This window comes from Homo sapiens, chromosome 11 (genome assembly GCF_000001405.40).
Source record: "Homo sapiens chromosome 11, GRCh38.p14 Primary Assembly".
Lineage (NCBI taxonomy): Eukaryota > Metazoa > Chordata > Mammalia > Primates > Hominidae > Homo > Homo sapiens.
This window is the reverse complement of record NC_000011.10, coordinates 100,038,890-100,062,767: the sequence shown is the minus strand read 5'-3', so window position 1 is coordinate 100,062,767 and position 23,878 is coordinate 100,038,890. Positions and strand designations below refer to the sequence as shown.

Genomic DNA, 23,878 nt, shown 5'->3' with positions numbered 1-23,878 from the left:
AACCACTACTAATATTTCAATCTTAGAAACATTTAAATGTCTATGTCCTTTTCTTCCAGATGCTCTCCCCTGTTTAGCTCTTAAGTTACCAATCCTCTCTAAAGCTTTTCCTGACTCCTCTGAGTAGAATGCAGTAGACTCTGCATTCCCACAGTCCTCTTCACATGCCTTTATCACTGCACACAGAATGCTCCACTCTAATGTGGAGTTTGCTTTTCCTCTAGTCCAGTGGATCATGAGTTACTTCAAGGCTCTATTGCTGGCATGTAGAGCAGTACGAGGCACTTAACAAACATTAACTGTATCAATGAATGAATGGATAAAATGTGCAATGCATAATCAATTTGGTTAGAATGCTAAATTCCTAAAGGAGTTGTTAAAGATGAAGAAAGACTGGTTGAATTCAGTTATTAATATTTCAAAATACTCTTTAGGAGTTCCTGTAAAGGGCATTAAGCTTTTGGAACTGATCTTGAGATACAGGGACAGTCATGGTTTCCTGGAGGAAACAGCCAATATGAAATTTGGATAACTATATATTCAAAGCATCTATATTTGCTTATTTCAATGCTCTAGCCTATTGCTTCTCTTTTTAGTGTCCTCACCTAGAAAATGAGAATACCCTAACTTACCCATTATATATATACTGTAAATCAAATATGAAAAGTACAAACAACTTTGAACTTTAGAAGTAAAGATGAGATTGTAAAAACTTTTGAACGAGATTTTCCTAATTCTTAGACACAACCTGGTTGACTGGCATTTTTGGACAATATAAACACTTGCAGGCTGTAGGGGCTATTTATCATACAGATGTATTAATTTAGGCCACAGGTCAGCAAACTTATTCTGAAAAATGCTCAAAAGCAAATATTTCAGTCTTTGCAAGTCAGCTGGTCTCTGTCTCTATTTAATTCTGCCATTGCCAGGCAAAAACTGACAGGTGATATGTAAACAAGTGGGTGTGACTTTGTTCCAACATCATTTACAAAAAATGGCACCTGGGCAGGATCTCGTTGATGGACACTAGATTGGAACCTCTGATTCTGGCCAAGTTGTAGAATAAGTTAATAAGTTTTCCAAGATTTTTAACTTGTCAGAGTATAGTGCTGGTGCCAGGGAAATAGCTCATTTTTAAGGACGTAAGTTCTGTATGCTGTACAAAGACACCGATAATTCCCCATTCATTTATAATTTAAATCATTTCTATGTATAGGGTAATTTGACATGATGCCTTACCATACGAATGAAGTATGATTATAAATTATTACTTGGTTTTTATGTACCTAACAAACAATATTTAGTTAAAGTTAATTTCCACTTTCAGTTTGACTTTTGGGACTAGAGCAATCATGCTTTGCTGAAAACACTTACTGTATACTTGTAATTGTCCACGAAAGGAATTTTTTCCACGTGAGTTTTCAGCTCTGCACTCATAAATGCCTGCATCATCCAGCTGTACATTCGGTATTTCCAGCACCGCCTGAGATTTCCGCAGACGTGCCTTACTAGGAATATAACCATTAACCTTCATCCATGTGATTGTTGGAACGGGGCTACGATAGGGAACAAAAATACTGTTAATACACTCTCCACTGTTAGGAACATAGATTCTGTTATCTGGTAATTTAAGCACTTAATAGGCTGAGTGCAATAAAATGTAATCACAATTAAGGACCATGTGCTGGTTGATATATTTCACTTTCCACGTGGGTTGTCTGGGAAGTAGATTATAAAAAGAATTTCCTTTTCTTTCATATTTCAGGAAAGCAATTAAAAGACAATATAAGTTGTAACCAATTATGATTTATTTTTAAAAACATTGTTAGCCAGGTGCAGTGGCTCACACCTGTAATCCCAGCACTTTGGGAGGCCAAGGCGGGCAGATCACCTTAAGTCAGGAGTTCGAGACCAGCCTGGGCAACATGGTGAAACCCCATCTCTACTAAAAAATACAAAAATTAGCCAGGCATGGTGGTGGGCGCCTATAATCCCAGCTATTCTGGAGGCTGAGGCAGGAGAATCGCTTGAAACCGGAAAGCGGAGGTTGCAGTGAGCCGAGATCGCGCCACTGCACTCCAGCCTGGGCAACAAAAGCCAAACTCCATCTTAAAAAAAAAAAAAAAAGAAAAAAAATTGTTATGTTTTTGTAAATGACAACAGTAACTTGGCAAAATTACTAACATATATGTGCTTATTGCAATGAGTCAAACCAAAGGGTTAGGAATTAAGTAAATTAAAACTTGTCCTGCCTCCAACACTGCAAATCTTATTTTCTGGCCAAATAGCAAATACAGTTTACACATAATCTCCCACTTCATCTCCGTGAAGCATATGTTCACACATGTAATATTTCTGTTTTGTTATTTTTTAAATATAAATTTTGTATATTTGCTATTTTATTATTTAATGATCATATTCAATAATTAGCCTGACTTATTCTGCTTAATAGTTGCAAATTATTTCATTGTATAGATGTACCAGCTTAATCAACTGCCCCCTTTTAGGTAAACATTGAAAGCAGCGGAGGTTTTTCTTTTTTTTTTTTTTTTAATATTTTTTGGGACAGAGTCTTGCTCTTTCGCCAAGGCTCGAGTGCAGTGGCACGATCTCAGCTCACTGCAACCTGCACCTCTCGGAAGCAATTCTCCTGCCTCAGTTTCCCAAGTAGCTGGGATTACAGGTGTGCTGCCACCATGCCCGGCTCATTTTTGCGTTTTTAGTAGAGATGGTGTTTCATCATGTCGGCAAGGCTGTTTTCGAACTCCTGACTTCAAGTGATCTGCCCGCCTAGGCCTCCCAAAGTGCTGGGATTACAGGCATGAGCCAGCATGCCCGGCATTTTTCTTTTTTTAATCATTAAAAATCAATGCTGCTATAAATAACCTTGCACATATTTCACGTACTATTCTATTTTCTGTAGCAGTCATTCACAAAAGCAGGACTGATGGATCAAAGGACATGCACATTTTCCATTTTAATAAGTACTGCCAAATTGTTTTTCAATAATATACAAGCAGTTTCCCTACCTATTGGTAATATGTGATACTGTTTCCCTATATCTTTGCCAGCATCGCATTTGATCAATCTGCTTGAAGCTTTGTTAGTATTTATAGGGCAAAAAATGGTATTTTATTGCTTAATATTTTCCTGAACCCTAAGGAGGTTGAACATCTTTTCATGATTTTATTGGCCATTTGCATTTGCATTTCTGTGAAATGTTTGCTTATGTTTTTTTTATTATTTTGCTTGCTTTATTCGCTTATTTGTGTTAATTTCTTAGAGTTCTTTGTGTTTTAGGGCCATAGAACTATTCTTCCCCAGTGTATTGTTAGTTTATGATGGTGCCTGTAATACAATTTTATAATCATTTTTGGCGAGAAGAAAACACGTCTATAGTTTCCTTCCTGACTTCCGATTTTTTGTGTGTTTAGAAAATTATCTATAAACCTAAGTTTGTCCGTATTTTCTGAAGTATTTGGTAGCATTTTGTATCATTTTAAAATGTTTGGATCTCTCACCCAACTGGACTATATTTGTTTATTGATGTGACATAGGGAATGTAAGTGATTATTTCAGCATCATTAAATAAGTAAAACTCCGTGTCCCACAATATTTAAAATGTTGCTTTTGTCATATAATTTGTTCCCACATATGTGAATCTGCTTCAGGCTTCTCAATTCTGTTCCACTGATTTATTTAGTACTATTTATATTTAATACACTTCATGCTTTGGACCCAGTCGACTTTTTCAGTTTGATTTCTCACTACTTCTTTCTGGATCTCCTGACCCAGAAACACATCCGTCTGTGTTTCCAATCATATCTGCTAAAATGCTACTCATCCTCTGAGACCTGTCCTAAATGCCTCCTCTTCAGCAAAGTCCTAATTTGTGTAGCCAGCTAGAATTTTTTCTTTTAAATAACAAAATGCTTTGTGTATCTTACTTATGTCTCTTGTAACAGTCTACCATAGATTATAACCGTTAAGTGTAAGATGTTTTCCTATTATTTTTTCCTAAGGAGTGATAGCAATGTTCTCCATTATAAGTGACATTATGATAAACATCCTTACGTATCTTCGAATACCTTTCTGCTTTATTCCTTAGGAATAAAACATAAAATTGAAGTTGCTGGATGAAGGAGTTGGCAATTTTTGCTTGTTGGTGTAGGTGCATGTATTCAATGTCCAGAAAGGATGAACCTTGCATTTTGGAATATCCTTTATATGAGTCTGACATATTATTCTTTTAATAGATCCTAGAATTTTTGCATATATTCAGAGGTGAGATTGTCTGTAGCTTATTAAGGTTGTTTGTGAGCTTATTCGTTGGTGAGTTCATGGTTTGTTTATGGATAACTTTGACAGATGCAGTAGCATAATGGTGAGTGACTGCTTGGTAAACAAGCCAGAATATTCCTATTTTCTGTATTCTGTATCAACTTAAATTGTAGGGAAATTATATTTGCCTTCATATACTGATAGGATTCTCACAAAGTTACCTGGGTCTGCCACCGTCAGTGGAGTTAGTTTTTTGACTGTGTTTTCCTTGATTGTATTGTTTAAATTTCTGCTTATGCCAACTTTGGCAATTCACATTTCACTAGAAAACCAACTATTTTATCTATAATTTCAATGTTTTAGCAGCAAGTTATATAAATTGTAATTGTTTAGTTTAAAACAGTCTTAATCACAGCTGGTTACATATTCTAGTAGTTAAGTGTAGGTTCTGCAGCCAGACTGACTGGGTATAGAGGTAGCTCTGCAACTACAAGTAACTTAACATTTCATTTCTTTAGGTTTCTCAATTGTAACGTATGGTGGAAATATTACGACTTATGTCAGAGAGTAGTTGTGAATCTTGAAAGATTTAAACAGCCTGGCACAAAGTAGCAGGCAAAAAACCCTAGTTTACAATAATATAATGATGCTCCTTGCATATTCTTTATAATTTATATGGTATGAATATATGTTTTCTGTATTTTCCCCCACAGAAATAACACTACATATTGGTTAGGAGCACGGACCTTCAGAGAAACCTGGGTTCTAATATGATTTGGGCACAAAGATGCTATGGTGACCTCGGGAAATTTGCCTAAGTTCTCTAAATTTTGTTTCTCATCTGTAAAATGAAGATATTTGTTTATTCCTCCAAAATGCAAATATCTTTAGGGCAGTGGAATTTTGTTAAAGCAGTATGTCCCCAGTGCCTCATATGTTTGGTATATTGTTAATAAATGCTTATGAAATAAGTGAATGAATGATTGTCAAAATACTATTTTGAAGATTAAGTGAGATAAATTATTATAAATTACTTAGTAAAATACATGGCATATTGTAAGCACCCAATAAATGATAGATATAATAAGTTTTAAATGATTGACTATGACAGAAGTTTGTCTATTTTATTGGTCTCTAAAATAAGCATTTTAAGTTTTTATTACTTTTTTGTTGTAATTCATGAGTTTCTGTTTTTAAATTTACTAATTCCTCTTATACTTTATATATATTTATATATTTATACTTTATAATGTATATACTTATACTTTATATATAATGTATATATTTATACTTTATATATAATTCCTATTATACTTTAACTTTTTGAGCTGAATGATCAGTATAATTATTATTCATGATTAATAATAAAATCATATGACTATCTTTTATGCTGACATCAAACGTATGGCCACATATGATACGTATTGATACACAGAGTGATATACACTTTCTACTTTCAGGAACCTGCTGAGAATCTTTGCATACAGAATTAATTTTTGGTACAAGTTCCATGTTATTGGGAAAAAAGTATATTTTATTTATGATAAAAGTTTAAAAATTAGTTTTTATATAGCTTTTGTTAGTTGTCATTCAGATATTGCTTTCATGTTTTTAATAATTTCAGAACAGTTTACCTCCTATGGAATCCTTGTACACTAAAATAACCCATATCAATAGATGCAAAGTATTCTGCTTGAAGCAGGAAAAAGGGTCCTGGAGTCTGCTCACTCCTCCCCTCACTCCCCAGAAAACTACTACTCTATGTCCTCTTTATTTTCATCTTCACTGATCTGTCAGACTGAGATAGGTGTGTTAATTTCCCACTACTATCATTACTACCAGTATCTTCTTATATAAGTTTTATTTTGTGTTTTGATGAATTTTCTCTCTGAAAATACCTGTTCATAAAAGTTATTATTATTTTTAGAGTTGTAATTATCCTTTACCAAATACAATGGCCCTCTTTCTAATTTTTGCTTTAAGTTATCCTTTTAAGAAACACTCCATTAACCTCACGCTCATTGTCTATTTATCCTATTATTTTTAGCTTTTTTTTTTCATGGTATGTCACTTTGTTTTAATCTAATTTCCTCTAAATGGCAAATGGTTAGATTTAATTTTTGACTTAAAAGCTATATTTGGTAATCTGCGTATTTTGATAGTGGAATTTTACTTTTTGATTTTGTTGCTCCAATTTATTAAATTGTTCTTATTCAGTTATCCCAGAATCACAAAATACAGAACAGCACATAACTTCATATTGAACGTTCACAGCAATAAAACTTGGAGTAAAAATAGTCATGGGTTAAAAATGATCAAGGAAGATATGACAATAAAAGTAAATATTCAGATTAAAAATAAAATAGACATTTAAAGACAAAAATATAATCACATAAACGTAAAGCTCAATGGCTGGGTTATACATCAAATTAGACATAGTTGAAGAGAATATTTCCAAAAGTGATAGATAGATTACAGCTTCATATACAGAATGAGGCACTGAGAGGAAGGGAGACAGAAAATACATAAATATGGGCATCAGTTAGTAGACATGTAGTATAAAGCTAGAGGGTGTAAGTCCAATCTAAGATAATAGATATAGAGATAGAGTTAAGAGAGAGTGAGAGCAAGAGAGAGAGAGAGAAGACTATGTAATATCTGAAAAGTATTCAGCATACAATTTTCCTAAAATGAAGGACATGAATCCATAAGCACAGGAAATACAATATATACAAAGCATGACTAAAGCCACAGAACACCTATGACATATATTAAAAGTAGCCAGAGAGGGAGACAGATAATTTACAAAATAACAATGATTAGCATGTCTACTGGCTTTTCAACAGCAGCAATGGAAGCAGGAAAAGATGTTGGAACAATTATGTTCAATATAGCGGAAAAGAGAGTAAAAGCACCTATAAACTAATAATTTTGTATCCTGTAAATTTTTCTTTAGGAGTGAAAAAGGAGATAAAGATATCAAATCTACAAATATTGAACAAGTTTTTCACCAATAAACCATTACTAAAGGATATACACTTCAAGAAGGAGAATAATGACTCCAGAAAGAAAGTTTAAGATGCAAGAAGTGGTAAGAAAAAACACAAATAATAGTAATAGCAACAGCAATAAAAATAATGTGTGTGTATAAAAAGGGACAGTACTAAAATACTGATCAAAAAGAGCATGTAATGAAAAAAAAGAAGTCATAAGCTAATGTGTCCTGAAGTTCTTTCATTTTGGGGAGGAAGATGGTTAAGATATCGATGAGCTTCTGACTTTAGAAATAAATACTGAAATTAATGACAAAATCATAAAATAGTAGAAAAGACGAGTATAATTTTACAAACAAATGAGGTATATAGCAAAGGCTGGAAACCTCATCTCTTTCCAAAATCCTTTTTGTTTTTTTGGTCTCCTGGACATACATTTGCCTTTTTTTTTTTTTTTTTTTTTTTAGGCTACGGCTATGATGATTTCTGGCAATCAAGTATAGAAGAATTGTTTTTAAAAATCTATGACTCTCTACTCTTTTGTTGGGCAGTTTGATATCAATACCCAGAATAAATTTGTAAGTAACAAGTTGAAAATAGCAGGACTGAGTTTCTAAACGACTGTGTAGAGAAAAGTACAAAATTGTTACCTCACCAATGCTAACTAATAACATTCTGTCAGATGTTACATGAATGAGATATAAATGTATACCTTGCTAAGCTCCAGACTTTCTAGGGTTTCTTTTTTATGCCTTCTAGCATTATCTTACTAATATAGAACTTAATACATAAAAATGAAAACGGGTAACTGACAGAACAACACAGTAAATATTTGGAATTTCCATGACAGTGAGGATGAAGATGGAAACGAATGCATACTGGAGAATGAGGAGATGAAGTGTCATGCTATGCAGCGGAAAACATTTGGTAAAACTGTCATCCTTGAGAGCTTAGAAAGGTAATCTGAAACGCTTCTAAACCTAGAAAAGGAGTTACAAGACAGAACGTTAAAAATGTGTGATTATTACTAGCTACATTCATCGAATTATTAGAAGAAAGACATGAGCTCAGGAAAATACTGGTTAGGTTGTTGGGAGAATAAATGAAAATAGAAAGAATGCAAAATGTGGGACCTTGGTCAGTATAGCAGATTAATTGAAAAACTGTTCTTAATTCTCCATCACTGCCTGTATTCACATCCTTCACTGGGTAACTTTGCACATCTTACCATTAGAAAATGGAGTCTCTTAACCCATGCTTTGAGTATGGCTTGCCTTATGATTTGCTTTGGCCACTATATTGTAGCTTTAATTCTTTTGTGCTGCTCTCACTCTTGGACCCTTGCCTTTACCATGAGAACAATCAGGAAAATTAGGATATAGAACATTTTTTATAAACCCCAAGTTCTTCCTCATATCTCTTCCCAATTATTTCACCCATGTCCCAGGCAATCAATGAGCTGATGTCCATAATTTAGGAACACTTTCACCAGTTTTATACTTTTATGTAAATTGAATAATACACTACGTAGTATTTTGAGTATGTCTTCTGTCTCTCTGTGTAAGATTTATAAGATTCATTTAAGTTGTTGTGCACATCGGTAGTTAATTCCTTTTAATCGCCGAGGAGTATATCGATATATGGATATGCTACAGTTTGTTTATCCAGACGCCTGCTGACTGTTGGACATTTGGTTTTCAGTTTTAGGCTATTATGAATAAAACTTTATACAAGTATTTGTGAACACACATTTTTAATTCTTTGGGGTAAGTAAAAAGCATAGAAATTCTAGAATGTACGGTAAGTAAATGTTCAACTGTATAAGTACTTACCAGACTATTTTTCCATTGTACCTGTATAATTTAACATGTCTACCAACAGTGTAGGAAATTTCCAGTTGTTCTACATCTTTGAAAATACTTGGTATTGTCAATCATTTAATTTTAGTCATTTTTGTAGTACTGTAGTGATACTAAAGTGTGGTTTCAATTTATATTGCCTGATGACTAACAACTTGGAGCTACTTTGGATGTTTTTATTAGCCATTCGCATACTCAAATCTTTGGTTCATTTTTTATGTTGCATTTTTTCCTTCCCAGCATTAAATGTAAGAATTATTAGTTCATACTGGATACAAGTTCTTTATCAAATATATATTGCACATATTTTCTTCCAATCTGAGCTTGCCTTTTTATTTTCTTACCATTGTCTTTTGACAAAAGCAGGTTTTAATTTTGATGAAGTTCTTTTAATCTTATTGTTTTCTTAGTGGTTTTTCGTTTTCTGTCTTAAGAAGTATTTTCTGACTCCAGAAAGTAAAAAGTGAGATATTGTTCTATGTATTTGTAGAATACATAGAAAATACATAGATTTACATTTAGGTATGTAGAAATCTATACAGAATACAGAGATTTACATTTAGGGCTATGATCCAATTTAAGTTTATTTGCTGTTTATGGTACAGGATATGGTTAAAGGATCAACTTATTTAACAGTGATATCCATTTGTTTCAGCACTACTTATTCAAAATATTACCCTTTCCCTATTGAATAAAGTGGCATTTTTTTGATGGACTTTAGAAGGCAGGTAAATTTCTGAGCTTTCTTCTGTTGCATTAATCTATAAGCCTATCTTTATGCCAATGTCTCATTTTCTTGATTATCATTACTTTTAGAATAAATATTGAGTAAATCTTTAAATTAAGTAGTGCAAGTCTTCTAAGTTTGTTTCTTTTTCTACCTTTGGCTATTTCATATGCTTTGAATTTCATGTAAGTTTCAGAAGTAGCTTGCTAAATTTCACAAAAGTAGAAGCAGGCTAGGATTTTGACTGGATAATATTTAATACATATATCAACTGTGAGAGAATTGACTTCTGAACACTATTGAGTCTTGTATTCCATGAACACGGTATATCTCCTTATTTTGGTATTCTTTTATTTCTCTCATAAATGTTATGCAAATTCTCAGTGTACAGGTCTTCTGCGTATTTTGTTTAGTTTATCCCTAAATATTAATTTTAGGGTTTTTGTTGTAGATTCTTGAAAATACACATACACATTTATGCCACCTCCAATCAGAGGCAGGTTTATTCCTTCCTTTTCCATCTCAAAGCCATAATTATTATTTTTAATGCCTGACTATACTGTCCAGGTCTCCCGTTAAGTGTGGAACAGAGGTGGTGATAAAAGGAAAGGGGAAATATTTTAGTCTCTTACCATTACGATGCTGAATATTGACTTTTTGTAGGTGTATTTTTCCTAGATGAGAAAGTTTCCCTCTAATCCTACATATTTGACAGTTTCATCGTGTATAATGGATTTTGTTATATGCATTTTCTGTATTTACTAAGATGATGTAAGATTATTTTCTTTTATCCCATTCATGTGACTAATTATATAAATTGCTTTTTAATAGTTAAAACACTGTACATTCCTGAGATAAATCCAAGTTGGTTGGCCACGTTATATAATTTCTTCTTTACATGTTTGATAGAATTCATCAACGAAACTAACTGGGACTCAATTTTTTATAGTATAAGGGTTTTTAATTACAAATTTAATTTCACTGATAGATATGGAAAAATTCATATTTTCTGTTTCTACTTGTGCCAGTTATAAGAATTATTTATTTTAAGGAGCTTTTTTATTTGACCTAGTTGTAAAATTAAATGTTGTCAGTTAACATTGCCTTCCTGTACTTTAAATGTTTTAGGATAGAGACGTAGTGATGTTTCCTCTTTCATGATTGATATTGGTTAAATTTTATCTCTTGTTTTTGATGTGTATCAGTTTTATTAATATTTTCTAAAAATGAGATTTGAGTTTTACTTTTTCCTTATTATCTGTCCATTTTTAATTTAACTGATATCTACTACTTAATCTTTCTTTTCTTCTACTATCTTTCATCTTAAATTAATTTCATTTTCCATTTGTTTAAGGTAGAAGTTTAGATCATTAAATTTTGAATTTTCCCTTTTAAATGACAAAAATTTACCATTAAGTATTGCTTTAACTATATCACACACATGTTGTGTTTTCATTATTATTCAGTTAAAAATATTTTCTACTTTCTTTTGTGATTTCCTCTTGATCATTTTGTTATTTAGATGTGTGTTTTGAATTTCTAAATATTTGGTGATTTTTAAAGTATTCTTTTGTTATTGATACATAATTTAATTTTGTTGCAATTAGAGAGCATACGCTCTTCGTTTTTAGTCTTTTTTAGGGGTAAGACTTGTTTTACGGCCCAACACATAATTTATCTTGGTGAATATTCCATGTGCAGATAAGTGTATTCTGCTGTTGGTTGGTAGAGTTCTTTAAATATCAATTAGGTCAAGTTGGTTAATAGCTGTGTTCATGTCTTCTGTACTTTACTGATTTTCTGTCTTCTTGTTCTTCTTATAATTGATAAATTACTGGAGAATAAGGTTATTTACTGATTTTCTGTCCTGCTGTTCTTGTAATTGATAAATTACTAGAGAAGAGTGTTAAAATCTCCAACTATTATAGTAAAATATCAATTTCCTGTTAAGTACTGTCAACTTTTGCTTCATACATTGTAAAGCTCTGTTACTAGGTGCATATACATTTTGGATTTGAATGTCTTCTTGAAAAGTTAATCTTTTTATTATCATAAAATGTTCATCCTTATCTTAGGCAACACTCTGTGCTACATTATACTTTGATATTAAGATACTCTCTTCAACATTCCTATGATGAGTATTTGCATGGTACACGTTTTTAATCTTTCTGCTTTTAACATATATATCTTCATATATAAAAAATCATTTTTAAAGTTGCTTTCTTGCAGATAGTATATTATAAGGTCTTTTTTTTCTCATTTCTTTTTTTTATTTTATTATTATTATACTTTAAGTTTTAGGGTACAAGTGCACAATGTGCAGGTTAGTTACATATGTACACATGTGCCATGCTGGTGTGCTGCACCCATTAACTCGTCATTTAGCATTAGGTATATCTCCTAAAGCTATCCCTCCCCCCTCTCCCCACCCCACAACAGTCCCCAGAGTGTGATGTTCCCCTTCCTGTGTCCATGTGTTCTCATTGTTCAATTCCCACCTATGAGTGAGAATATGCGGTGTTTGGTTTTTTGTTCTTGTGATAGTTTATTGAGAATGATGATTTCCAATTTCATCCATGTCCCTACAAAGGACATGAACTCATCATTTTTTATGGCTGCACTGTATTCCATGGTGTATATGTGCCACATTTTCTTAATCCAGTCTATCACTGTTGGACATTTGGGTTGGTTCCAATTCTTTGCTATTGTGAATAGTGCCACAATAAACATACGTGTGCATGTGTCTTTATAGCAGCATGATTTATAGTCCTTTGGGTATATAGCCAGTAATGGGATGGCTGGGTCAAATGGTATTTCTAGTTCTAGATCCCTGAGGAATCGCCACACTGACTTCCACAATGGTTGAACTAGTTTACAGTCCCACTAAGAGTGTAAAAGTGTTCCTGTTTCTCCACATCCTCTCCAGCACCTGTTGTTTCCTGACTTTTTAATGATTGCCATTCTAACTGGTGTGAGATGGTATCTCATTGTGGTTTTGATTTGCATTTCTCTGACGGCCAGTGATGGTGAGCATTTTTTCATGTGTTTTTTGGCTGCATAAATGTCTTCTTTTGAGAAGTGTCTGTTCATGTCCTTTGCCCACTTTTTGATGGGGTTGTTTGTATTTTTCTTGTAAATTTGTTGGAGTTCATTGTAGATTCTGGATATTAGCCCTTTGTCAGGTGAGTAGGTTGTGAAAATTTTCTCCCATTTTGTAGGTTGCCTGTTCAATCTGATGGTAGTTTCTTTTGCTGTGCAGAAGCTCTTTAGTTTAATTAGATCCCATTTGTCAATTCTGGCTTTTGTTGCCGTTGCTTTTGGTGTTTTCAACCTAGTCTGACAATGTTTTTCTTTGGTTTAGTTTGTGAATTTACATTTAATATAATTACCTGTGGTTGGGTTTAAGTCTAGCATTATAATATACATTTTCTGTCTATCCCATCAGTTTTCATATCTTTTTTCCTCTTGTCTTATTTTTATTAGTTTTTAGTATTTCATTTTAGTCTTATACTAGTTTATTTAATACAGCCTTTTGTTTTTTGTGCTATGTGTTTGATTATTTTAAAGTTTGCGATATGAATCTGACAATATTATGCTTACCGGTTCTCCTTCCTACCCTTTGTGCCATTCTTTTCATACACATTATTTCTACATACTTTACAAACCCTCTAACACATTATTATATTTTTTCTTTACAAAACAAGTGGAAATAGAAAATTTTAGAAATTAAAAACAGCAAATATACTTTATATGTACACATATATTTTAAAAAAACATTTCTTGCTCTTTTTTTGTGGAGTTTTAAAACAGTATTACATTTCCTGCAATCTAAATAATTTTCCTTAACATTTCTTGTGGTGTTTTCTCCTGCAGCAAATTATTTTAGCTAAAAATGTCTTTATTTTTAAAAGAATAAATGTATTTAATTTTTTGAAGAATATTTTCACTGGATACATAACTCCAAGTGAACTATTTAAGATTCTCCTTTTATTTTTGTTTTTCATCAATTAGTTTATGTTGTATCTTCCCACATTTTTCTTTGTTTTTACCCTGTTTATATTTCATTGAGCGTTGGAGATCTGTAGGGTTAAGTTTTACAACAATACAGATAATATATTTTTATACTCTTCAAAATATTTTTGTTCTATCCCTATCTTCTGAGACTAAACCTTGATATACGTTATGTAGCTAATTGTTCCATAAAGCAATACCTATAATTCCATTTTACTTCTCTTTATCTAGTATATTTTACAGTTTGTAATGCTCTATGTTCAAATTCATTGATCTTTTCTTCTGCAGTGTCTAATCCACTGTAAATCCAATCTAGTACATTTTTTCACTTTTTTTATTCTAAAACTTTCATAAAGATAACTTCTATTTCTCTCTTGATTATATTGATGTTTTCCTTTAAATGACTGTATTAGAGTTCTCCAGGGAAACAGAATCAACAAGAGATAGATTTATACATATATGTATTTATTATGGGAATTGGCTCACACAATTATAGAGGTTGAGAAGTCCCACAACATGCTGTCTTCAAACTGAAGAACCAGGAAAGCTTTTGATGTAATCCAGTCTGAGTCCAAAGAAGAACCTGGGGGATCTGAGGATGTAACTTTATTTGAAGTTGAAAGTTTGAGAAATTGGGGGCCACTGATGTAAGCCCTCAAGTCTAAAGGCCCAAGAAACTTTAGTTCTAATGTCTGATGGTAGGAGAAGACGGATGTCCCAGCTCCAGAAAAGAGTGCAAATTCAACCTTCTTTTTATTTTTTTTGAGAGATGGAGTCTCGCTCTGTCACCCAGGCTGGAGTACAGTGGCGCGATCTCGACTCACTGCAAGCTCCGCCCTCGGGATTCATGCCATTCTCCTGCCTCAGCACCCCCAGTAGCTGGGACTACAGGTGCCCGCCACCACGCTGGGCTAATTTTTTGTATTTTTAGTAGAGACAGAGTTTCATCGTGTTAGCCAGGATGGTCTCCATCTCCTGACTTGGTGATCTGCCCGCCTCGGCCTCCCAAATTGCTGGGATTACAGCGTGAACCACCGCCTCAGGCCTCTTTTTTCTTTATAAAAATTCTATCTGTGTCCTCAATGGATTAGATAATGTCCTCTCACACTGATGAGGGTAAATCTTCCTTACTCAATCTACTGATTCAAGTGACAATCTCTTCTAGAAACACTGTCACAGAGAAACCCAAAAATTATGCTTTATAAGCTATCTGGGTATCCCTGATTTCAATCAAGTTGACATCTAAAATTAACCATCACAATGACTAAACATATTAAGAGCTGCCACAAAATACTTTGTTTATTCCAACATTTCTGATATTTCTGGGAATGTTTTATTGACTGATTTATCTCCTGTTTATAGTCCATATATTCTTTTTGTTGTAGTTTCTTCACATTTCTACCAATTTTTATTAGAGGCTTCACATTATCAGGTCTCTGAATTTTGTTTTTGTCCTTTAATCATTGGCAAATTTTTTTCTGGCATGCAGCTAATTTATTTGTGGTTTAGTTTAATCCTTGTAAAACTTGTTTGTAATCTTTTTTAGGGTGAGTTAAAAATAGTCTTTATTTTAGAACTAGATTAACCCTACCCCTGTGACCTGGTCTTTTTTTCACTCTCTACTGAGTGAACCATGGTGTTCAAAGAGGTTTTATGTGGTTAACTGGAGTTTGAAGATTTCCCAACCCAGTTCAATATCTGGCTCTTTGTTGGTTTTCAGGTTTTCTGTTTTTTTTGTTCCTTCTCTACTAGTTTTTCTTAGTTTTTCCGCCCTGTACACTCATAGCTTGGTATTTGTTCATATATTCAATGAGATCCTAATGCAGATGTCTGGAAGTTGTTCTTTGTGTAACTCCTCTATTCCTGTTACTTGCCCTATAAATTTCAGTCACCTCAGCTTCACTGATCTCCCTCTCTGTCCTTTCAGCTCTATGAAACTTGTGATCATCTTGGATTTCTCCTATCTGGGTCAGTTTCTGATAAAAAAAAATTCCTGGAAAAACACTAGGATAATGGTTAACTTCACTGTTTTTTATTCTCTGAGGGATCACATTCCTGCAATGCCTGTTATCCAATATATGACAACAACTGTTCCATATATTTTATTCATTTTTTTTCATAGTCTACAATTGAGGCCTAATATGGTACAAACTACCCTGCCATGCTTATTAGTGGCAGTCCAAAATTGTTTTAATAGGGGAAAAATTAATCTGGTAACAATCCAAAGTCTGATAATAGAATAATGAATACATATGTTTTATATGTATACACATTAGATGATTATTTATTAGATAAAATAAATAAATTACAATTACCTTGAACACTATGGAGAAATCTTAAAAACAAAGATTGAAGAAAAAAAGCAAATCACAAATAACTACATATGTCATAATGCAATCTTAGCAATGTTAAAAAAAGAAGAAAAATAAAGAATGTATGTTAAAATATATATCTATGCATCATAACATAATTGTCTTAAATCACAAAGATTATGAACACATATTTCAGGCTGTTGGTTTCCTCTTGAGAGAATACAGGCAGATGGGATTGGAGAATATCATGCAGTGAGCTTCAAAATTATTGTTACTCTTGGTACTGTTTTAGTTCTCCAGTTGGTTGCTGGATTCATAATTGTTTTTTCTATTAATCAGATATTACATCAAAACAGTATAGACCAAAAGTGTTTGATGCACCCATTAACTCATCATTTAGCATTAGGTATATCTCCTAAAGCTATCCCTCCCCCCTCCCCCAACTCCACAACAGTCCCCAGAGTGTGATGTTCCCCTTCCTGTGTCCATGTGTTCTCATTGTTCAATTCCCACCTATGAGTGAGTTAATGGGTGCAGCACACCAGCATGGCCCATGTATACATATGTAACTAACCTGCACATTGTGCACATGTACCCTAACTTAAAGTATAATAATAATAAAATAAAATAAAAGATGTTAATAACAGGAAAAAAAGTGTTTGATGTCTTTCTTCATTGCTCAGGTGTTCTCAGAGATAACTGTCATCCTTTTTCAATTATCAATTTTGGTGGGCGAATAAATCTTATTTTAACATTTAAATTTCTTTTAAAATTCATTTTGTCATCATCAGACTTTATAATTACCATTTGTTTGTGTGATGGCATCTCTAGTAGATTTCTAGCAGAACTCTTTTTTTTTTTTTTAATAATAAATGTACATCTAAAAGAATTTAGGTAGTCAGTATGTGTTTTCCCACCGACCACTGGTTTCCAGTCTCATTTTGGAGAGAAAATGACTTCTTTTTGTCAGCCTTATATTTTTGCCAGTTGTTTATGCAAAAATAGTTAAAGCATTAGACAAGTCCCACTGAAAAGAAAACTTAATTCTTTCATATGAGGATAACTACTTCTTGTTATTACTTTCTTAAATCTAGATTTTTATATTTTCTCCATGGTAAAAGACAAAATTACTGACTTGGCCCTTTTTTTCTTCTATCTCTAATCTTTGGATCATTTCTACCTTAGTTTGTGTTTTGGAGCCCACAATGCGTAATTATAGTTGGCCCCTAATTATTTACCTAGAAACACACAACCTTAAACCATGGTGACTAAAGTTAAAATTACTATTGTCCATTTACCTAAATTCTTAATGTCTTAATTTTCTGTGGTATATCCATTGACTTCCTGGCTTCTGCCTAACCATTTTAAGCTACTTTATTTACTTGGCTGGAATAAAGTCTTAATTTCTTTACATCTTCTTGTACAATCACCTAGAGAAAGGAATCGAGAATGAATAGAAAAAAAAAAGTAATATGGAAGACAAGGCTTTGGGTTAGGGGTAAGTAGATACACGATGTGAGATTACAGGTGGCATGTTAAAAGACTTCTTGCAGTAGGAGAGAAAACTGCATTTTGATGGCCTGAGAAAAAAGGAGACCTAATAGTAAGAAAACAAAAACAAAAACCCTGAGGATTTCAGTAATGCGAGAGATTATGTAGTCAATTGTCAGGGTGAGCAGTCTCACTATGTTTATTAACTCCTCAGTATAACTTTTCTGAGTTCTCAGTATAGTATAATACAGGTCTCTGGACCTGTATTAAAAATGAAGATCAACGAAATGAAATAATCAACAGCGTGAACAGACAACCTGAAAAATGGGATAAAATATTTGCAAACTATGCATCTGACAGAGGGCTGATATCCAGAATATACAATGAACTTAAGTAAGTCAAAAACAACAAAAAATTCCAAAATAACAAAAAGTGAGTGAAGAATATGCATAGACATTTTTCAAAAAAAAAGACACAAAAATGGCCAAAAGCATATGAAAGATTAGTCAGCATCACTAGGCATCAGATCAATGCAAATTAAAACCACAATTGTATATTATCTTACTATAGTCAAAATGGCTATTAAAAAGAAAAAAAAAAGATGTTAGCAAAGTTGCAGAGAAAAGGGAATGCTTATACACAGTTGGTAGAAATGTAAATTAGCACATTCTCTATCGAAAACAGTTTGGAGTTTTCTCAAATAACTAAACATAGAAAGAACTACCATTCAATTCAGCAATTTCATTGCTGGGTATCTACCTACAGGAAAATAAATTACTATATTAAAAATATACCTGCACTCATATGTTTATCACGGGACTGTTGACAATAACAAAGATATGGAATCAACCTGAGTATCCATTAATGACTGACTGGAAATTAAAGAAAATGTTATATATACATATCACGTATATATATATATACATGATATGTAATATATATGTGTGTACATACACATGTACATGTAAGTCTATACGTGTGTGTGTGTGTGTGTATATATACACTGTGGAATAATAGACACCAGAGACTGGGAAGAGTGGGAGGGTGGGAGGGGGTGAGAAAGGTGAGGGATAAGAAATTACTTAACGGGCACAATGTACATTATTCAGGTGATGGTTACACTAAACACACTTCACCACTACACAATATATACATGTAACAAAACTGCACTTGTACCCCTTGAATTTATATAAAAATAAAAAACAAAGTGAATGCTGTAATAACTCAAGGAATTTATGACCTAATTAGAAATACAACAAACTGAATCAAATGATCCAAATACAGAAGGAGACAGTATTAAGAGAACATAGTCAAGAAGACTATTTATGTTAGACAGGAAGGTGAGGGAATGTAGCCCAGAAAAGATGACATGTGAGGTGAGCTTGAAGGATGAAGGCAATTTTTGCAGGAGGCAAAAAATGTTCCTGGCAGGAAAATCCATGTACATGAACACACAGAACAGTATGAGATAGCAAGGCAAATGAGTGGAACTTTACATAGTTTGGTATGCTAAAGCATGCAGGATGGGCATAAGAAAGCAACTGCAAGTTTATGGAAAGTGCAGGTTTTCCCTTCAAAAACAAAAATATCTTCAAATTATGAAAGTTTAATGCTGTTTATTTAAATTTTCCTTTCCTATGTCCTTAAGTCTCCTAAATTTTTTGCCTCCAAGTTATTTGGAGCTTTGGAATATAAAATTATTTGTAAAAATTGATAGAGTGGCTATAAACTTGTTTGGAAAGACTTCCAAACATAAGCTATTGTTAAATGAAATAGTGTTCTTGAGCCTGCTGGCAGTGCCAAGGTTTTACTGACATTATGAATATGCCATATGCATTTATATAGTACATAACAACTTAGGGAAAATGAAATAATTTTGCTGTTTTCAAATGGCTGATTTGAAATCAAGAATGATTCATTCATTTTCTTTTTGTAAGTGTTTAAGATTTAAAAAATATTTGAGAGCATAGTAAGATTTTAATTTGCTTAAAATTATGGTATTATCCAAAACAAATTTCTCTATAATAATAACCTGAGAGTAGAGTTATTGCTCACAAGCACAAACAAAGGACTGATTTTAGCTACACTAGAAGAATGAATGGAGATGTCAGTTTTGATGGAAAGGAAGAGCACAGTTCTGTTTTTCTCCTATTTTAGTTCTGTTGAAATTATATCTGTTCAACTACACATTTGATTTTCATCTACAATAAGCAATGCAACTTGAAGATATAGGAGGTTTTTTAAAGCTAATATCATACCGAGGATGATGCTATTCATTTGGCTCAAAAATATCTCTTAATAACAGGAGAAGACTATGTGAAGCCACACTGAAATTCTGACACAAGCTTTTTGTTATGCACCATCAAAGTGACAGGATAAAAAGTGCCTCCAAATGTAGTTCTTGAAAGTATGGAAAGTGTTGGATGAACTTTGGCCATTGTTGAAGTCATTAAAGGTATTTTTTAAAGATCATTTTTATACATATGATGAGGTAATGTGTAGAATCTGTCAAGGCAGAAGGAATACTTAGCTGTGAAGATTTAATGATTTCAAAAGAAAGTACTCCCCAACTGCAAATCACTATTCACAGACAAATTGTAGGTCTGTCTAATGGAGCTTCCTATTTTCCTTGCATAAGTCACAAGTGAGATATGAATTTTACATCTGATGTGAAAATATATACAGTTATGGCTCCTTTGTGACTTGCACAAAAAAAAGGAAACATTGTATATCTTTGATAGAAGCTGAAAGAACCAAGTTTTATAACTTTTCTCTAAGAAAGCACATAAAAAGCTATCATAAGAAAAGCTATTGAGACAAAGGCTTTTTTTTTCCTTTTATGATTCTGTATCTCAAAAAAAAAAAAGAGAGAGAACAAAACTAAACCACTAATGTGGGTGATTGCTACTATCTACATAATACACAAAAACTTTTGAAGGCAAAATTTTTCTTTGAAAAAGTCTGGAAACCTTCAGGGGCAGTGAGTGCAAAGCTTGGGCCCTTCTTGAGAGGAGAGTATATGAATCTCTCCCTTGAGGCAGGGGACCACATTGTCGCAGTCTCCAAATGATTAGAATAATTGGCCTTCAGGGATAATAAATTAACTGCATCTAACTTGAATATAAGCTTTAGATCTCTCTCCTTTCTGATTCTTGACTCAGAACGTGTGATTATGTATTAACTCAGGGCCTTCCCCTGGTATTAGTTCTGCTTAGGACTTCATGTGGTTCAGAATATATAGCATCACTTTTAATTATCTTAGGCAAAGAATCTAATTTAGGTAAAGAAGCTTGACAGTCTCTGTGACATTATGATCTGATATGGCCTTTATGTTTTTACCATTGTTTTTTAAAACAATTATAATCTTTTCTTTCATTAAAAATAAGTTATTTAGCACTGAAAGCAATAAATGCTGAGGTCAGCCTATGTCCCAACTATAGGCAATTGGCTGCCTTCCTTTCTCACATATCATTTTTGCCTAGGTGTTTCTTATCTTCCAAACCAGAGAAAATCCTTGTATCCAGCAAAATGGGGAGGACCCAGGAGAATCACATGCCAAAGCAGCCTTGCCAAGGAACAAGAGTAAGTTTGAAAGTAGCCAAGAGAAATTTCTGAAATAACGCCATGTATATTCATTTGTTCACTCAGCAATTATATATAAGGTACTTACTATGTTCTAGACTTTGTCGTAGACCTGGAGTTGACAATGGGGAGAGTGATAGAGGTGGAATTCATAGAATGACTTAAGTAATGACTTAAAGAATATTGGACATGATTTAGAGGAAGTATGGACATAGGCACAGCCAATCTAGTGTGGCAAGAGTCAGGAAATGTTTTTGTTCAGACTTGCATAATTGGTAGGAGTTATTTAGACAAGGAAGAGAGATAAAAAATATTCTAGGAAGAGTCAGTAGTCTATGCTAACTCCTGGAGCTGTGAGAGAAAAAGAGTGTATTTAAGATACTGAAAAGGGAGGAGCCAAGATGGCCGAATAGGAACAGCTCCAGTCTACAGCTCCTAGTGTGAGTGACGCAGAAGATGGGTGATTTCTGCATTTCCAACTGAGGTACCGGGTTCATCTCACTGGGGAGTGCCAGAGAGTAGGTGCAGGACAGTGGGTGCAGTGCACCGTGCATGAGCCAAAGCAGGGCGAGGAATCACCTCACTCGGGAAGCACAAGGGGTCAGGGAATTCCCTTTCCTAGTCAAAGAAAGGGGTGACAGACGGCACCTGGAAAATTGGATCACTCCCACCCTAAAACTGCGCTTTTCCAATGGGCTTAAAAAAATGGCACACCAGGAGATTATATCCCGCACTTGGCTAGGAGGGTCCTACGCCCACAGAGTCTCGCTCATTGCTAGCACAGCAGTCCAAGATCAAACTGCAAGGCGGCAGTGAGGCTGGGGGAGGGGCGCCCACCATTGATGAGTTAGTTGTTTGATTAGGTAAACAAAGCGGCCAGGAAGCTCCAACTGGGTGGAGCCCACCACAGCTCAAGGAGGCCTGCCTGCCTCTGTAGGCTCCACCTCTGGGGGCAGGGCACAGACAAACAAAAAGACAGCAGTAACCTCTGCAGACTTAAATGTACTTCTCTGACAGCTTTGAAGAGAGCAGTGCTTCTCCCAGCACGCAGCTTGAGATCTGAGAATGGGAAGAATGCCTCCTCAAGTGGGTCCATGACCCCCGAGTAGCCTAACTGGGAGGCACCCCCAAGTAGGGGCGGACTGACACCTCATACGGCCAGGTACTCTTCTGAGACAAAACTTCCAGAGGAACGATCAGGCAGCAGCATCTGCAGTTCTCCAATATCTGCTGTTCTGCAGCCATCACTGCTGATACCCAGGCAAACAGGGTCTGGAGTGGACCTCTAGCAAACTCCAACAGACCTGCAGCTGAAGGTCCTGTCTGTTAGAAGGAAAACTAACAAACAGAAAGGACATCCACACCAAAAACCCATCTGTACGTCACCATCATCAAAGACCAAAGGTAGATAAAACCACAAAGATGGGAAAAAAAAAGAGCAGAAAAACCAGAAACTCTAAAAATCAGAGTGCCTCTCCTCCTCCAAAGGAATGCAGCTCCTCACCAGCAACAGAACAAAGCTGGATGGAGAATGACTTTGACGAGTTGAGAGAAGACGGCTTCAGACAATCAAACTACTCCGAGCTACAGGAGGAAATTCGAACCAATGGCAAAGAAGTTGAAAGCTTTGAAAAAAAGTTAGATGAATGGATAACCAGGATAACCAATGCAGAGAAGTCCTTAAAGGACCTGATGGAGCTGAAAACCAAGGCATGAGAGCTACGTGACGAATGCAGAAGCCTCAGTAGCCAATGCCATCAACTGGAAGAAAGGGTATCAGTGATGGAAGACAAAATGAATGAAATGAAGCAAGAAGACAAGTTTAGAGAAAAAAGAACAAAAAGAAACAAACAAAGCCTCCAAGAAATATGGGACTATGTGAAAAGACCAAATCTATGTCTGATTAGTGTACCTGAAAGTGACGGGGAGAATGGAACCAAGGTGGAAAACACTCTGCAGGATACTACCCAGGAGAACTTCCCCAATCTAGCAAGGCAGGCCAACATTCAAATTCAGGAAATACAGAGAATGCCATAAAGATACTCCTCGAGAAGAGCAACTCCAAGACACATATTTGTCAGATTCACCAAAGTTGAAATGAAGGAAAAAATGTTAAGGGCAACCAGAGAGAAAGGTCGGGTTACCCTCAAAGGGAAGCCCATCAGACAAACAGCTGATCTCTGGGCAGAAACTCTACAAGCCAGAAGAGAGTGGGGGCCAATATTCAACATTCTTAAAGAAAAGAATTTTCAACCTAGAATTTCATATCCAGCCAAATTAAGCTTCATAAGTAAAGGAGAAATAAAATACTTTACAGACAAGCAAATGTGGAGAGATTTTGTCACTACCAGGCCTGCCCTAAAAGAGCTACTGAAGGAAGCACTAAACATGGAAAGGAACAACCGGAACCAGCCACTGCAAAAACATGCCAAGTTGTAAAGACCATCAAGGCTAGGAAGAAACTGCATCAACTAATGAGCAAAATAACCAGCTAACACCATAATGACAGGATCAAATTCACACATAACAATATTAACCTTAAATGTAAATGGGCTAAATGCTCCAATTAAAAGACACAGACTGGCAAATTGGATAAAGAGTCAAGACCCATCAGTGTGCTGT

The 23,878-nt window shown here is 34.4% G+C and overlaps 1 protein-coding gene and 1 long non-coding RNA gene across 13 annotated transcripts in view; one reads left to right on the top strand and one right to left on the bottom strand.

Annotated features, from left to right (window-relative positions):
* Nucleotides 1-11,517, top strand: part of LOC105369456 (uncharacterized) — a 54,991-nt gene extending 43,474 nt beyond the window's left edge. The window contains exons 2-3 of the long non-coding RNA XR_947948.3: nucleotides 7,238-7,372; nucleotides 7,742-11,517. This is a non-coding gene — a long non-coding RNA (uncharacterized LOC105369456). The remainder of the gene's footprint in view (nucleotides 1-7,237; nucleotides 7,373-7,741) is intronic.
* The window catches only part of CNTN5 (contactin 5), a 1,337,937-nt gene that overhangs the window by 296,118 nt on the left and 1,017,941 nt on the right, over nucleotides 1-23,878 (bottom strand). For all 12 annotated transcript variants that reach the window (XM_017017926.2, NM_014361.4, XM_011542871.2 and 9 more), the window contains one exon: nucleotides 1,375-1,556. In XM_017017926.2, the coding sequence (XP_016873415.1) occupies nucleotides 1,375-1,556 (182 nt within the window). The remainder of the gene's footprint in view (nucleotides 1-1,374; nucleotides 1,557-23,878) is intronic.